The following is a 17,915-nucleotide window of genomic DNA, read 5'->3' as shown; positions in this document are numbered from 1 at the left end:
CTGTACCACACCACTTTTGTGTGTGTGTGTGTGTGTGTGTGTGTGTGTGTGTGTGTGTGGCAGGGTGGTGGTGGTGGTGGCGGGGCGGATTTAGCCACTTCAGAGGCCTTTTCCCATAATTTGGAACTTTCCTTCTAATTTGATTAAGTCGGATGGAGTTGATCAAACCCAATGGGAAAAAGACGGAAACAACCACAAAAACAGAAACAAACAACAAAAACAACAACAACAAAAAAAGTTAAGCAAAACAAACAAAAAACAGTTAAGCAAAACAAAACAAACAGTTAAGCAAAACAACTTATACAACTATTGAGCATTCTAATGATAAGGAGCAATTAAAACCAGCTGGTTGTTAATCTTAACTTTAGCCAAAAACAAACCCCGATTCAGTTACTTACCTAGGAATGGGTCTCAGGCTGAAGACTGCTCTCTACCATCCTAGAAGCAGGAAAAATCTCAAATTCATCTTCCCTGTTGGAAGAGAGTTCAGACATCATAAAATAGTTACCTCTGCCTTCCATTGCCAAGGAAGCAGGAAACCTGCTTTCCCTGTGTGGGAAGCAAGCCAAATTCCAAAAAAAAAAAGGAGTTGTATGGCAATATAAACTTTAGATCTTGACCTAATTTTGGGAGATCAGGGATTCTCTGGAGGGGGCTCTTTCAGGCTTCAGCAAATTGTCCTAATGGCCTGAGCCTTAAAGCTACCTCTAGCTGGTACCAAGCACCAACAGAAGATTTGGCAAAGGTCAGAGGCACCTCCACTTAGAATCTCTTTGTGGTTACCAAAATGTGAACCCTGAATATCTGAGACAGGTTTCATTTAATTCAGAAAGTTTATTTTGTCAAAGTTGAGCACGTGTGTCCATGACACAGCCTCAGGAATTCCTGACAACATGTGCCCAAGGTGGTTGGGGCACAGCTTGGTTTTATACACATTTTAGGGAGACATAAGACATCCATTGATATATGTAAGATGTACATTGGTTCCATCAAGAAAGGTGGGACAGCTCAAGCAGGGAGGGGGCTTCAGGTCACAGGTAGGTGAGAGACAAATGGTTGCACCCTTTTTGAGTTCTGATTAGCCTTTCCAAGGGTGTCAATCAGACATGCATTTATCTCAGTGAGGGGAGGGATGACTTTGAATAGAATGGGAGGCAGCTTTGCCCTAAGCAGTTCCCAGCTTGACTTTTCCCTTTAGCTTAGTAATTTTTAGGGCCCCAGGATTTATTTTCCTTTGACATTTTCCCCCTTTTCTTTTCTAAAATTTTTGGAGAAAACATTTTACAAGAAAATTAGCCTTTGGTCTCAGGTTTTATCTGATCTCTCATGTCTGGGATGGTTTATTCCTATATAGGTAGGTCCCGAGTTATTAGGAAAGCTCATTTTTAGCAGGTTGAGAAGTCTCATGCTCTATGAAGAGAAAATAGGGGAGGAAGGGAGAAAAACAATAACAAAAGAACAATCCTGGAAAATTGGTATAGGCCACATTACTCTGAAGTCCATACATCAGTAGGCAGGTATGAAAGTGGCTTATGTGTGTAAATAGGTTGCTGTTATTTTCTTCTGAAGTTTATTTAAGTTGTCTAAATTCAGTTAGCAGGGCTTTAAGAAAGCAAAGGTTAGTTTTTAGTGATTTCAAATTAGGAAAATTGGGGGGAAAAAGGAAAAGAAAGAAAAAAATCGAAAACATCATTTTTGGATACTTGCAGCCAGGAAAAATTAGAATTCAGTCTAAACTTAGAAAATAATAAAAATTGAAAAACCTTAGGCAAAACTGGAATCTAACATCAGATGTACTATAGTTTTTGAAACATAATTTTTCTGTCTCCAGTTTCCTATTTTTACTAAAGACAAATCATGGTAGGACTGATTTGCTTTATTATATTGCCCAGATTATTTGTATAAAGTACAGCAAGAATAATTATCTTTCACATAGGCTTTTTATATTGGCTTTGATGGAACTTTGTTCCATAAAAGGAATCTCAGATAAGATTTTTTTAAAGCTGAGCCCAGCCATGGATTTGTACCATCAAATACCTATGAGTTGGATGAATTACTCTCTTCTTGAGGTTCCAAGGTATTAAAAGGCTGGGGCTCCTGAGCCTGCCAGAAAGTGACATTCTTTACTTAACACAGGTCAGGAACCCTGTACAGGAACTGCATAGACAAGGTATGAGGCCAGCTTTCCCAAAAGGCTTTTATTGGCTTTCTAAGCCAACTTCGATTCCTTAAAGGAAAGCACACCATGCCAGTCAAAGCCGTGGTAAAATAATCAGTTTCTCCAACTGTGTCCTGTTACAAATGAAAACATATTCTTATTGAACTTATGCAAATAACTATATTGCCATAAGTTAAGAATATTCACAAATAGTTTCTGAATTCTGGAGAAATCAGGTGGAGAGAAATAAATATGCTCCAAATTTTATTTATAGGAGTATACTTAATTGTTAAAAGCTGTCAATAGCTCAAAAAAAAAGTTTCCTTTACTCTGAAAAACAAAACAAAGGATCAGCAACATTTTAAGCAAAAAGTCAAAAATATTACTCCAGTCTTCTATTAGTTTAGTCTGTGCAGTTAATACCTATTCTGCTTGATATTCATAAACATTTCAGCTCTCCATGGGTCCTGAAAGTTTTACCACTATTCTGATGTCACAATCTCCAGAGTTATCAGACACCTTCATTCAAGAGCACTTGTTAGAGTTTTACAGCTGATTATAAAACCACCTTCTAAGGAGGATCAAAACAAGACAATAATTGTCCATGGATGACAAAAAGTTTTAGGGCAGCCATAGTCAAAGACACAATTGACAAAGAAATTTATTACCTCTGTGGCACACAATAATTTATTATAACAATTATAATTATTACTGAAAATGTACACTAAGTCATATCAGAATGATAGGAGTGTCTCATAATTTTGGAACACATACCAATAACATATTTATACAAATACAACCCAAAGAAAACCAAACACCATTTCAGATTTGACGATGCTTCCTATATAATTTTTATACCAAATACGTCAAATATGTCAACTTTGGACTTTAGGAAGCCTAACATCTTAAAGGATTAATTAAGTCAGAAAAATACAAAATTTATAATTTGATTTTGAGAAGTTTGTCAAATATCAAAGGTTAAGACATTTGCTATCACAAAATTGGATCACAAGTCATTGTAAAATAAGTCATTCACTTAAACAAAATGATAACTCAAGGATTTCAACAAAAGGCAAAAACCTTCAGTCTTCGAGAGAGGAGACTTAGTTTTCCAAACAATAAGCCCTAATAAAAACAGCACGAAGCCAATGAAACTTGTTTTTCAAAATTTTATAAACAATCTATAAAATTGTAATCTTGACCATGAGATATAACTTCAATAAGCCTTTTATAACCTTTCTAAGTTTTATTAAAGAGTCAGTTAATGCTTCAAGAAAACCTTGCTAATCTGATACAGGGGCCCATATGTTGGTCTTGCATTAGTGTGCCTTTGACGTTAATGGTTAATTTACTGAGGAATTGAACTTATTTCATCTCTCAATATTGGCCTTACAATCTCACATACCCACCTCTTCTGCAATAGTCCCTGGACCTTGAGGAGTTGAATAGCTTTAATTTCTGGCCTTGTGTCTCAGGAATGCAGTTTATTTTGGATTGGCATTTTATAGTGGGCCTGGAGATGAGGCTTTAATTGCTTTCAGTTTTTAAGATTTAGCAGGACTTGGTGTCCTTTTTAGACCCAGGAGTCAAAGCCCTGTAACTCAATTTCACGAGGACTTTAAAAGCACATAAAGATACACAGATGTAATAACCTTAATTAAAAAATAATTCTTTTAAATCTTAGTTTTATTTCTAAGCAAACCAAAACTTAATAATAATGGCATAGGAATAATTTTGATAAAATGTAAAATCTGTTAGGCCTGTTACCAAAAGGCAAAAGAAAAGACTTTCTGTAGTGCACAGAATATATTATGTTGGAAGAAATCATTTCCTTCAGACCTTTAAGAAAACATTGTTAGCATCAGGCCACAACAAACAGAACTTGAGGGGAAAAACCTTATATGAGCTGAAAATGAGTTGAAGGAGAGTGTCAGTATTTTGTGGCTTTTAAAAGGGGAGAGAAAACTGAAAATGGCCAGATGCAATAAAAGTTGAACTTTGGGTTAAAAAAATTAAAATCTCCTATAATTTGTTAAGAGTAAGTCAATCCCTTAAGAAAATTTTATTGTTCTAATCAATTTTTTAGTGTATTAGTGTTCTTTTACATCAAACCCAATCTCTAGAAAGACCATTATAATTTCCCTTTAATTATAGACAACTTGATCATATAAAAATTTTTTTAATAAATCATCTTATTGGATTTATACTCTATACATTTTTTAATACAGCCTCTTATTGGACTTACACAGACTATTCATGACATGCTTGGACTTTCTGGTTTGTCCTGAACATCCCTCTTTCATAAACAACCAGACCTTTTATTCTAAGACTAAATTTACTATATAAGATTCCTTCTCATATAAAATGATTTCTCTTTAAGCTTTCTTACCAGAAAATACCTCTTTATTTCTATAACTTTCTTTACATCTGTCTTATTTCCTGGTTCTTTTTACCTTGTTTTATATACAACAGTTAAATAAGCTTTGAATTAGACAAAAATTGTTCACCTCTTTAAAAAGGACACTTTTTTTAGAAAGAATGTTTTCCTACAATATATTTTTATTGGAAAATACCCAAATAATGAAATATCTATTATTTAATCTAATATACCTTCAGATTCTAAATTATGACAAGTTTGTCTACAAGTATTTATCCCATTACATTTACCTCATTATCTTCTCAGCAAACTGAAAAAAAAACTCCATTTCGTTTCTCATTTTCCTTCCCTTTTGCCAGTTGTCGCTTCTTTATTCACTCCTTGTCAAATGATTCATTCCGTCTACATTTGTAATATCCTTTATTTTCTCAATGCTTCCAAGTTTAAAAAAAAATCTCTACTTTTGTTTTTGTTTCTAAGCCTATGCTTCTCCTTAACTGTTGCTTTCAAGTCTCTCAATACCTTTGCACTTTTCTATCAAGATGGCCAGTGATATTCACAAAACAATATTAAGTACAAATGCAGTGAACACAGCAACAAGTTGAGGGATAATGGGTGGATGAGGTGGCAGTGCCTGCCTGACTGTTTTCACAATATGTTGGTGTGGAGCTGAGTTGACCCACTGGAAGTAGAAAATAGCTTTGTTTATGTCTATGATCATTTATAGGGCTGATGTTTAAAAAGAATTACCTTTATGTGATATAAATAGCTTACTTCCTCATGATTTGACTTGATATAGAGAAAGAATATTGAGAGTAGGAAAAAACCATGCACAAACTCCACTCAACAACAATCAACACAGACTTCTGTGACCAAATGTGTGGGGATTTCTCCCTACCAATAAGAAAGCAATTGATTCTGTGGTGGACCCAGCTGGGTGTCTTCCAATTCAATTTCAACACTGTCTACCTAGAGATAGAGTCATATCCCACAGGATGAGGGTTTAGTCCCTGAGACTGCCCCCGACTTTAGATGCCAGTGACAAGCCCCAGGTTGTTTTACCAGTGCATCTGACTGACTGGCTATAAATTGGGGATTCCACAACCTCCTCCTTGGGTTCGATTAATTTGCTAGAGCAGTTCACAGAACTCAGGGAAACACATTTACTGTTTATTATACAGGATATTATGAAGGATGCAGATGAAGAGATGCATGCAGTGAGATATGGAGGAAGGGGTGCAGAATTTCCATGCCCTCATGAGGCACATCACCCTTCAGGAACCTCCAGGTGTTCAGCTATACAGAAGCTATTCAAATCCTGCCAATTTGGGTTTTTATGGAGGCTCCATTATGTAGGCATGATTGATTAAACCATTAGCCACTGGTGATCAACTTAAACTTCAGCCACCCTTTCCTCCCCACAGTTTGGGGAATGCAGCTTAAAGTTCTAATCCTGTAATCCCGCTTTGGCCTTTTAAATGATCAGCCCCCATCCTGAATCTACCTAGGGGTCTCTAGCCACCAGTCAACTCATTAGCATACAAAAAGACATCATTTTTGAGTTTCCGAGGATTTTAAGACTTGTATGCCAGGAAACGGGGTCAAAGAGCAAATTTATATTTCATAATTTCACAAATATAAAGATTCTAGCTCCCAGAATAAGATTCAGCTAGCATGTTCCTTAATGGAAAGTGGATGACAGTCAGTTAAAGGTTGTTGACAACCTGAAATGCTGATATTCTGTGCTGAGTAAAGAGAGACCCATATGTTTTAGACAAGCAGGTGGCACAGTTAATACTCTGTAAAGAAAGTTGGGAATCTTTGACTTGTGTTTACACGGAATTCCATTCTGTGAAAATGGTTCATAGCACAAAGCCAAAGTTTTTCTCAGAAAATAATTTTGAATCTTACCCACAGAAATACCAGAAGTGTATGCCATGAATCATGAAAGAGACAATTAGGATCTGGAAAAATTTCAGGACAGACGCTACTGTCCAGTCCTGTATCTAGTAGGCAGTGCAGCTGGGATGAGTCCATGGAGCTGACTCCAGGGTCTTACCCTCTGAAATATGTCACTTCCCTTATCATCTTAATGTTTGCTGGTTCAGTTCCCTGACTTAAAAAATCTGTATAATTCAGAAATTTATAATGCTGTTTCTGTATCTTTTTTCTCTTCCTTTAATTTGCTTTGCCTTTCACAAACTTCTCCCCATCTTTCACAGACATAATCTCAGATCTAGGTGTCATTACAACAAGAAAGAAAAAGTGTTTCTGAATGGAGTTCTTATATCTATTATATAATGTCTGGCCTCCCCAGTGCTATTCAGGAGCACCGTGGGCCATGATTGGATAAAGACATCCCCGCTGCATCCCACCCTGCTGTGTAAACACGTATATTCGAGAAATGGTTCAATTATAAGTCACTGCCTGCAGTTTGGAGCATCTGCTACTTGCGCACATGTCTAAAAGCCCAGTGGAGTATAGGTGTTCATGTGGTGACTGGTACTTGTGATCTGGACCGTATTTTCAGCTGTTCTTACGATGACTGCCCAACTACTGCCTCTCTCTGAGTGGATGGACCTGCCCACCCCTATGCTCCTGCTCAAGCCTCCAGAAGTGAATTCATTGCATCTCTCCAAACATATGTTTTAAACTTCAGACCACTGAAACACACTCTCCAGATGTGATAGATACCCACTTCCCTGTTTTTCTGTGATGCCATTAACAGACGAACAGAATTTTATTCATAAAGATACGAATTCATGTATAACAGAAATATTTTCTTGGGTGGGTTTTCTCATATCTGAGCATGGTGTTAAATGATTATGAGGGGAATCAAAATTGAAGAGTCTAATAGAGGGATACTTTGCTGTGGATAGGACAGAGACAAGAGTGAGAGAGGGTGGGCTTGACGGGGCTGGTTAGAGAAAATGTTAGAAATATGTCCAGGAGAGAAACAGGCATCCACTGGAAGATTTTGTGAAGTTTCTGTTGTGCAGTGGCCCCACACCCTCCATTGCAACTTCTAGTCAAATTCAAATGTCTTGCTGTGCTTTTGGAGTTGGATTTATTCTTGAGGATCTGTAAGGGAGGGCAGATTCTTCTCCTTTTCACTTAGAGTAAGTGCCGCATGCACCCAACCCTGTGTGAGCCTCTCCCCCAATACACCAGTCCGTCCCATGCTCACTTTATTCTAGATTCGCTGGTTTCCTTGATGGCCTTTCAGCATACCAGGCATGCTCCTCTTTAAGGCCTCTGCACTTGTTCTTTGATCTATCTGGAATGATTTTGAAGGACAGCAGATTATGCCCCCCAAAACAGACCACTATCACACGGGGATGACTTCAAGCTAAAGACACTTGAAGAACAGCAGATGTGAGAAGGACATTCTTATCTTCCCTTTTTCTTCCTGAAGGCAGGAGATTAAAAACTCCCAGGTGAAAGCTGCCCTCCATATGCTAGGAAGAAAGAAACATTCTTTGATGGGGAGTCATAGCCAAGAGAATTCTGTACAAGCAGACTTTGTTAAAATAAATCGTCTTCCTTTAGCCTTGCCATAGTTTAGTTACTTTTCCACAAATGGGTCTCTTTGTTCAGCCTTATACAAAATCAAGTAGGTTCTTTTTGTTGGTTGGTTCTGAAACAGGGTCTCACTTTGTTGCCCAGGCTGGAGTGCAGTAGTGTGATCATGGCTTACTGCAACCTTGAACTCCTGGGCTCAAGCAATCCTCCAAACAGCTTCCCAAGTAGCTGGAACCACAGGCATGCATCGCCACATCAGGCTAATTAAAAATTTTTTTTGTAGAAACAGGGTTTCACCATGTTGCCCAGGCTGGTCTCAAACTCCTGGGCTCAAGCTGTCTTCCCGCCTTGGCTTCCTAAAGTGCTGGGATTACAGGTGTGAACCACAGTGCCTGGCCTGCATGTAGGTTTTGCCATGTCTTTGAGTCCTACTTTTCTTATGAGGGCTCCCATATCCTGTAAAACTTACATTAAATAAATTTTAAAACTTTTCTCCTGTTAATCTATCATGTATCAATTTAATTCTCAGACCCAGCCAGGACCCTACGAGGAGACAGAGAGTTTTGACTCCACTATACTCTTCTTTCAGATATTCACATGGCTTTCTTCTTCACCTCCTTCAGGTCTTTACTCAAATATCACCCGGTGAGGACTGACTTAGCCACCCTGTTAAAAATTGCATCTTTCCCAATTCACCCAAGTAAATTATTTATTTTGTTTTCCTGATTTCTCCATTAGAATTAGAAGGCAAGGTGTCCCCCCTACCTCTGCCCCTGGTTTATTCACTGCCTTATCCTCAGTGCCTAGAACAGCACTAGGCACATAGAAGTTGCTCAGCAAATGTTTGTTGATTGACTGAATGAGTGAGGTCTGAATGGGTCCAGTCACTTCCAGCTACTAAAATAACAAATAAGTGGTTCTCAAAAGATAATACTAGAATCTTTCTAGCTGTATAGATCAGTAAGCCTGAGTAGGAAGACTGAAAATAAGTATTCATTGAAATCCTTCCTAGAAACATTGATATTCTTTAATCCACATAATTTTGTGTACTTGTTCAATAAATTATAAAACAAATATGTATTAGAAAAAACAAATCCTCCTTAAAATATTTATATTTCAAAAGTTCCTTCTTTCAATTTTCTCTGCCCTTACTAGAGAAACACAAATTACACATGGCACTAATCTGCCTTTCTTTGGAACACATTTCCTTTATCATGCAGTCATTTCAAATGTGAAAAATAAAATACTGCTAAATACAAGATTACTTTCTGGCTTAAGTAGTGGATAAGAGTTGTTTTTCTCTGTGTTTGTAGTTCTGGCAAATTATCCAGAAGATTAATCTTTGAAAAGACTTTTTATTATATCTGTAGAAAACATTATTTTGAAGCAATAATCTAATGAAAGTACTTCTCCTTCATACAATTTAAGAGATTTTGATAGAAAAATAAGATGAATACAAATCTCTGCTCTATATGGAGTGTGTATTTCGGCCTATTAGGTCAATGATGTTACCTACTGCAGGGAACCAATACAGTTGCCCCAATACCTGGGGCAAAGGTATTGTCTTTGCCCCAGAGGCAGTATTATCACCACTTGCCTCCATTCCCCCTCCATGAGCAAGACCCTGCTGCTTGATTCTCAAAACACAATATTAGAATCTTTCTAGCTACATAGACTAGTAGGTATAAACAGGGAGACTGAAAATAAACATTCACTGAAATTCTTCAGAGCAGCTTCTGCCACTTCTTGTTCTAGATCATATAGAAAATATGTCTGGGCCATCAGCCAGCAGTGACCCTTAAAAAAAAAAATACCTGCTTCAAAATTGATTATTTCAGACAGATTTCTTTAAGTCAGGGGAAAAAATTAGCATATGCTGGCCCAAACTCTACTTTCATGTGAAATCTGCCGCTTAGTTTTTAGAATAAGAAACTTCTCTGATTTCTATGTAGGCTACTAGGTTCTTCACTTAAAGAAAAGCCCCCTTTTGTTAGATGCTTAACTTTTCAGCTTCTACTCTTTATATGGTGAACGTACAACTTATTATTCAGAAAGGGACATGTTTGAGAATAGAAGGAGTAACTATTAAAAATTATGGCCAGAAAAAATTTATAAACTGATATTGTGTGAAGCAAACAAAGTTGTATTGTCTCTAACTATTAAGAAGGAGAATGAAATTACTTACTGAGGCTATATAATGTGCTAAGTGATTTATATCTTTTACCTCAATTTCAAAACCGTCCTCTAATAGAGGCTTGGGAACATTTTCAGTCATGAATCAGGCTCTGTGACATTAACCCAAGGAGTCAACAATATTGTAGTCTAAAAGAAATTTTAGGAACTCAGCTCAGGACACTTTACAATAAGGACTATTGATTTAGCTGTCTGCAGGAAATGCATTAGATACACATTTTGGCTGAAAGCCAAATGTTAAAATCAATAATTGACAAGTCAGATATCATTAGAATAGGAAGAACTTTGGGGAGACAAGATTAAATTTGAAACCTTACCAAACATTTTCAAAGTCAACATTTGGATGTTTGACAATATAGTGAAGGAAAAATAATTTCTCAGCACCATCCACTGGTGGATTATTCCTGTAGTCTCTGTGCTGCGTGTCTGCAGTCCTACAGACATGCCTACTTTAACCAGACTAACATTTAGCATACAGTGGCAGGAAATGGGATTCGCTGCTCAGCAAATACCCCAAATCCTGGATCTTCTACTACTGAAAATGTTTGTCAGTCTAAAGCAATTATTTTGACAAGTGTTTGTTTCTTAGTCTCGAAACAGACAACACAGAAGAAAACTATAAGGAATTGACTTCTTCAATTTGAATTTTGATTGTGGAAGCAAAATGCACATTGCAATTCTCTGCTTTCTCTAACACTGTCTTTTTTCTTCCTATTTGTTATTTATTCATTCATTCAGATTTATTCATTTATTTTAATTATGGCTTTTAGATTCAGAGGGTACATGTGCAGGTTTGGATATATTGTGCGATGCTGAGGTTTGGGGTACAAATGATTCAATTATTCAGGTAGTGAGCATAGTACCCAATAGGTCGTTTTTCAGTTCTTTTCTCCCATTCTTTCTCCCGCTGCTAGTGCTCCCCAATGTGTATTGTTCTCATCTTTATGTCCCTGTGTACCCAGTGTTTAGCTTCCACTTATAAGTGAGAACATGCAGTATTTGTTTTCTGTTCATCCATTAACTCACCTGGGATAATGGCCTCCAGCTGCATCCATGTTGCAAAGGACATGATTTCCTCCTTTTTATGGCTGCATAATATTCCATCCATATATATGCCACATTTTGTTTATCCAATCCACTGTTGATGAGCATCTAGGTTTTCAATAAATATTTATTAAGCACCTTTATAATGTCTCAGTCAGCATTTCAGGAAATGGGGATACAACAGTGAACAGAAGATAGAAGTCTCTGCCTTTATGGAGTTTATATTCTGGGTCTTAGGGATATAGACAATAAACAAGACTATAAATTAAATATATAGCATATAAATAGTTTTAAGTGCTAGAGAGAAGAATAAAGCAGGGAAGAGGGATATGAGGAATTCTCTATTGTGATTGGATCAAAGATGATTTCTCATGATATTATTTTTGGAGTATTTATTCCTCATGGAACTTTTTGAGGGCAGATTTAACATTTAACTTTCAGTTCTTCATAACAAGATGTGAAGAGTTCCAATTTAGCATTTTTTTTTCCTTGAAAATCTCATTGTCTAAATGGAATTAAATAACTGAAAATTAAATATAGTTCTTCAAAGTTATTTTGTCTAATGTTTTGAGTGTCAGTATGTAAAATAATTCTATGAAGACCTGACTTATTTAATCTCAACTCTGTTATTCTGCTTTATATTATTTAAAATTTTATAAATATTCGTTGGCAGAATAATTATGTGGTATTTTTCCTAAGGTTATATTCCAGACACGCTCTGACTTAATATTTCCTTTAACTGACAATTTACTCTCCTAGGTAGTAAATAATTCCTCATAATTTTTTTGTACATAAAACTAACAGCTTTCATAATAAATTTATTATTGCAGCATTTTCTTCTTGCAATATTAAATATTCACTTACACTTCACCTGACTGATAGAATTTCAACATAGAAAGCACATAAAGAGATTGTCACTGTTTACCCCTATATTGCGTATAAGAATTTTAGATTGCATACTTGGTTACAAACAGTAAACTCTGATGACACTCCCTGTTTGTGCTGCTCACATTGATACCCTGATTAGATATGAAGGGGACATGCAAGATCAAATGATCATTTGTCACATGCATGTTCAGGGATGCCAGCACTGGCATTGATTTGGATGTTTGTATATCTGACTATTTAACCTTCCAAAAGCTAAGTCTAAATAGCTACAGTGTAACAGTAGATTTTGGCCAGATACTGAAACTGAGGTAAATTCTTGCCCACCCCTCCTGTCTCAAATTCAGTCATCTCTTGGAAGGGACACAAAAGTATCAGTCATTGGAGTGGCAGCCTCCCAACCTTCTTCCTGCCTGGTGACCAAAGTGTTGAACATGGCATCTGAAAGCGTCATAACAAGGTTCACTCTGATCCTAGGCATAATTAATGGAGTGGTTGGATTTTCATCCTTCTTTGCCTGTTAAGTGTCCTCAGTATCTGTCTTCCTAGTCGGTAGGCACAGTCAACAGATGAGGGCTTCTTGGCTTAATTGATCTTATGAATTCCATTAGGAGGGATAAGAACCTGAGTGATGTTCTAGCCAGTGGCTCCCAGGCTTCGTAAGTATTTACCTTTATGTTGCGGTTATAGCGTCATTAGCTACAACTATTACTGAAGCTTGAATTCAAATAAAAAGCAATTAGATGTAATTCCAGTACTCAACTCACACGCAACTGAAACTTAATGATCTGGCAATTTGAACATGAATATGAAAAAGGAATTCCTTTAGCTTTTTTGATCCTCTTATTTTATTGTCTGCCACAAAAGAAAAGCAAATAATACACAGCATCAGCGCAAAGCATGAAAAAGGAGATAGGAGCCAAATTCGCTAAAAATTCTAAAAGCTGGTCTATAGCTGTGCTCCAGAATTACCTGAAGGTTAGACGGACGTGAAGTCCATTATTTAATCTGACAATTTCCTAGACATCAAAAACAACAGGCTGCAAATCTCAGATCAGGAAACCCTTCCTGCAACCCTGGATATGACTTAATGTCCTCCTTTTTCCAAACAACCACAGATGTCTGTGCACATCTCTGCTGTGACTTTGGTCACATCTCCCTGCATACACAGGAAGTCACTTGCTTGTTGGTGCCCCTTTTCTTGATTATGTTTTCAGAAGGAAGATCTGGTTTTAAATTCCATTTTATATCCCAAGAACCTAGCACAGCTTTAGGTAAGAACTCAGTAAAAATCACTACTACTACTTCTAATATGACTACTACTATTAGTACTGCAGCTGGTAGTACTATAGTACTAGTACTATTCCTGTTTTTGCTGCTGCTGCCATATCCAGTGTAGCTGGTGAGCTAATGAGGACCCCACTCAGGCACATGGGATATGCATACACATTTCCACATTGTGGTTTCTTTTTAGCCACCCTCCAGAGATGGTCATGGCAGAGGGAAGATGTGGAGATCTGGATGAAGGGAAAAGTTTAAGAGTTTATGACAGAAAAACCACTCATATTGCAAATAGTGGTATGATCGCTGTGAATTTGCTATACCTCTTGGATTTAAAAATATTTCTACACATGTGAAACTTTGTATTTTCTATGGCGTATTTGTTTTCCCCCACTAAAGGTATGAGTGCCCTAGCATGGTGATGCTGTAGGAGGAGATGTGAATGTGATTCAACATAATCTAATACATATTTTATCAATAATTAAGAAAACATTTGCTAAGCTAATGAACTTAAACAAGTCTCTGGGTCTCAGCGTCAGTTTCACTGTCCATAAATTCAGAATAATGTAACCTGTCTTCTTAGGCTATTTTGAGGATGCAAAGAGGAAACAAATATGAAAGCGATTTGCAAGTTGCCAGGTACTAGGCAACGTAAGGTGCTATATGGCTGTGACAAATTTTCCTTCTGAACCTCCTGTAGCACTTTGTACAGAATGGCAAGTTCAGCTTGGTTGGAGGCCAGAGCCATGGTCTTGTTGGAAATAAGTACCTGATGTGAGGTACAAAGACCTGGAAGCAAAGCCCTGCCCCACCGTTTCCCTAGTTACGTGACCTGAGATAAATTACTTGAGAAAAGAATATTAAAGTCATCCAGCTCATGGGTTACTGTGAGAATTCAGTAGAAAAATACCTATGAAGGCACCTGGTGTACTGCGGCAGTTGGCCAGTGTTTACACAGCATTTTTTTTAGGGCAGAGAAAGATACAAATGAATCAAAATGGTTCTGAGCAGGTAGCTCGCAAAGAGGAGAAAGCCTGGACTCTGCGGACCTGGCTTCCTGTTCTGCCCTGTGTGGCCTGAGCAAGTCCTGGAACCGCTCTAAGCCTGTTTCCTCAGATGAGAATTGGGAGGAATCATGATGATAATAATAATAATAACCATACCCTTAATTATCTCTTAGGGTTGCTCTGAGGACTAAAAAATATAAGATATCAGCAGACATGGGATAGGAACTAAAAATTTAGCCTATCCTCCCCCCAGATTTAGCATCGTGCTGGTGATAATGCTCCTTATTTTTAAAGATAGTCTTAAACCATGTCCAGGTGTTTTCTGTTGACTCAATAAGAGCCTAGGATGCACTTCTGACAAAATGTTTGCAGTCCAGTATAAAACTTTACCTTAGCCAGGCATGGTGGCACATGCCTGTTATCCCAACCATTTGAGAGGCTGAGGCAGGAGGATCGCTTGAGCCCAGGAGTTTGAGGTTGCAGTGACTGCATTCCAGCCTGGGCAATAGAGTGAGACCCTGTTTCAAAAAACAAGGACAACAACAACAAACAACAAAGAAAACCTTTACCATCTCTGGAAGCCACCTTTTGGGTGGCAAAACACCAATAAAAATGAATGAGGGTGGAGAAGAAGAGGAAAGAGAAGCAGCTAATGAGAAACGGAGGGCCAGCGTAGGAGCAAGAAGAGACACTCGGTCTACCAAGTTTGATAAGATGAAAGCTTTCTTCCCGAGCTCTTCTCCCCTTGTCTGCCTTGAGCCCTTCTCTTCTGTCCTTCTTTCCATTGAAACCTTCACGAAGGCAAAGCCAACGAAGATCTCAGAGAGTGCAAGGGGAGGCACAGTGTGGCAGGAAGAGCACCTCCCCCGCAGGCTGAGGAAGCTTGCCCACACCGCGGGGCTCCTGCAGCTGCAGCCTTACTGACTAGGCTGATTCCTGGCAACAATGAGGCTGGGACGGTGTGACAATAAGAAGGAGAACACCTACCACGTATTGAACTTTCAGTGTTTGCTCTACCAGTACGTTCTCAGTGAACTCTCAACGAAAGTCTCATAGGGCAGTTCTGCAGCCCCTTCTCTTTGCCCAGTCATGGAGTTAGTAAGCTGCAGAGGCAGGACTTGAAGTCAAGTCTCCCACTCCACCGTCCCCTTTCAGCTAAAGATGTCTGAGCAAGCGTTTCTGGGTGAGGTCATTCAGAAGTGGTTTATGCCAGCAATTTGTTTTATTCATCTTCCTAGAGGAGGAAGTGGTGAATAAGCTCTTTTACTCATGAGTAAGTGGAATTTATTTCTGACAGATTGTTAATTGGAGGGTCGTATAAAGATTTCCCCATAGAACAAACATGGCTTAGACTTGAGGGGCTAGCTGGGGAGTAGCCTGCAAGTCAGCCCAGAAGGGTGAGGTTACCCCAGTGATGCTGGTGCTTCAGACACTGAGGGAGCTGGGAGAAACTTCTGTCAAAGTCATAGAGCTCATCACGGTGTCAAACACTTCTGAGAGGCCAAAGTGAGAACCAAAAAGGCCCATGAGGTTTAGCAGTGAGAAGGTAGGTTGCTCTCCAGTGTCTGAGATCACATCATTCATTTCATTCTATTTCTACTCAAAAGATTTTCAAGGGATTGTTCTCTATCTTGTCACCAGTTTTGGGGAGTGCACTCTCTTTAGGGTCACTCTGTGTATTCCCTTGCCATACAGCTTGCTGGAAGTCTCTTTTCACTGAATTTAACCACCTGATTGTTAATGAAGATAGAGATGCACCTCTGCTGTAGCTGAATAGCTCAACAGTCTCCAAAGTTAGCTATCCAAGTCTTTTCTGGACCTGGATGTTTAAATCAATCAGTACATCTGCAACTGTAATGGTTATTTTTATCTTTTGACATATCTCACCTGAATCTGAACACAATCTAATGAATCTGATGTATTTTTCTTAAACTTTTTTTTTTTTTTTTTGCTGTGAAATAGTCTAGTCACGCATTTTGGTGGCTAGAAGAGTGAATTAATAGTAGTCTAATCACCCTGGAGATGCTATGCTTCTGTGAGCTGGCACTGAGGTAAGGTGGCACATCTCTGTGGGAATGACAAGTGAATGAATCTGCTCCTCATTTAACCTGCTGTTCTTTTCTCTCTCTCTGTTTTCTCTCCTAGGAAACAAATGGAAGACTGCTGCGACCCTGCCCATCTCTTTGCTATGACTAAAATGAATTCCCCTATGGGGAAGAGCATGTGGTATGACGGGGAGTTTTTATACTCATTCACCATTGACAATTCAACTTACTCTCTCTTCCCACAGGTTAGTATAGAGTTGGTTGCCTTCAGTATGGTTTCTTAAATTTCTTGCTGTCATAGAAAAGGGATAATTGAGTTTGCCTTACTCATCAGATTGACTTTTTGTTTTCTTTCTTCTCTCTTTAAATGTTTTTCTTTATATCTGTCATCTGTGTGTGTGAATAAATCACAGTGTTTTGATGCAAGGGTGGAAGCAGGATGTTACAGAGTTACAGTTTTCCTAGCCTTTCTGATTTGAGTCCTATGAGACTGAAGGAAGCAAGAAATGAATGATCAGGGACTTGTGGAATTCTAGTGTTCTGAGGTTGGCTGTGGAATGACCATGAGGATTTGTGTGATACTGGAATGTTTTCTTAGGACTGATGTTGCTCAGGGAGTGGGGACCATATGGTGAGAAGTTTGCTTCTTAGAGCTCTTGAATGTTAACCCTGTGGTTAGATTACCACTGTGAAATGGAGGAGTGGTGGATATGGAGAGGAATAATTCAACTTGACCACTTTTGAAGTGGTCTAAATCAAGCTTTGCTTACTTAATATTTATTCTTGGTTTTCTGGGCATTGAAATAAAATGTTTTTCTAATATACATGTAGGCAGCAAGAGGGGGGAAAAGGGAAATTTTATTTTAGGGAACCCTAGTTTTGGGGAGGGGAGATCTTAGGCAAAATTGCAATTAGGGAAAAATTCAGAAATGAATCATGGCCTCCCCAAGACATCTTTTAGCCACCCTTGGTTTGCTCAGATGATTGTACAGAAAGAGAATTTTTAAGCCTTAGAAAGTGGGACTGAATCTTTCATGTGTCTCTGTTAATAGCCCATGAGACTTTAAAGGAGGAATCCCACAAAGCTGAGGCACAGGTTCTACCAGATCCAAAGTCACACTCTCTATAAAACAGCCATGCTGACTAGCTCATCCTTAGATATTTTAGTCTAGTTTAATGGTCTTAAAATGCAGTGATAAGGTTTTTCTTTTAATTTTTGAAATAAGAAGTAGAAGCTTTAGTTTATTGCCAGCATCTACATGTTTTCTCTCTTCATCTGCCCTTGGGAGGCTTCCAGGTGTCAAAGGAAATAACTAAGAGCTATGATATATGGAACTGAATTTTGTCTCCATCTCTTACTAACTAAATTCCTTGGATGATTACCTAAGTCGTCTGAGATTTAG

General features: G+C 38.2%; 1 protein-coding gene across 2 annotated transcripts in view; it reads left to right on the top strand.

Moving 5' to 3' along the window:
• The window catches only part of ST8SIA1 (ST8 alpha-N-acetyl-neuraminide alpha-2,8-sialyltransferase 1), a 141,317-nt gene that overhangs the window by 30,802 nt on the left and 92,600 nt on the right, over window positions 1-17,915 (top strand). For both annotated transcript variants that reach the window (NM_001304450.2, NM_003034.4), the window contains exon 2: window positions 16,613-16,757. In NM_001304450.2, the coding sequence (NP_001291379.1) occupies window positions 16,696-16,757 (62 nt within the window). In that variant the 5' untranslated portion in view covers window positions 16,613-16,695. The remainder of the gene's footprint in view (window positions 1-16,612; window positions 16,758-17,915) is intronic.

This window comes from Homo sapiens, chromosome 12 (genome assembly GCF_000001405.40).
Source record: "Homo sapiens chromosome 12, GRCh38.p14 Primary Assembly".
NCBI lineage: Eukaryota > Metazoa > Chordata > Mammalia > Primates > Hominidae > Homo > Homo sapiens.
The sequence above is the reverse complement of the archived record's forward strand: the minus strand, read 5'-3'. Positions and strand labels throughout refer to the sequence as shown.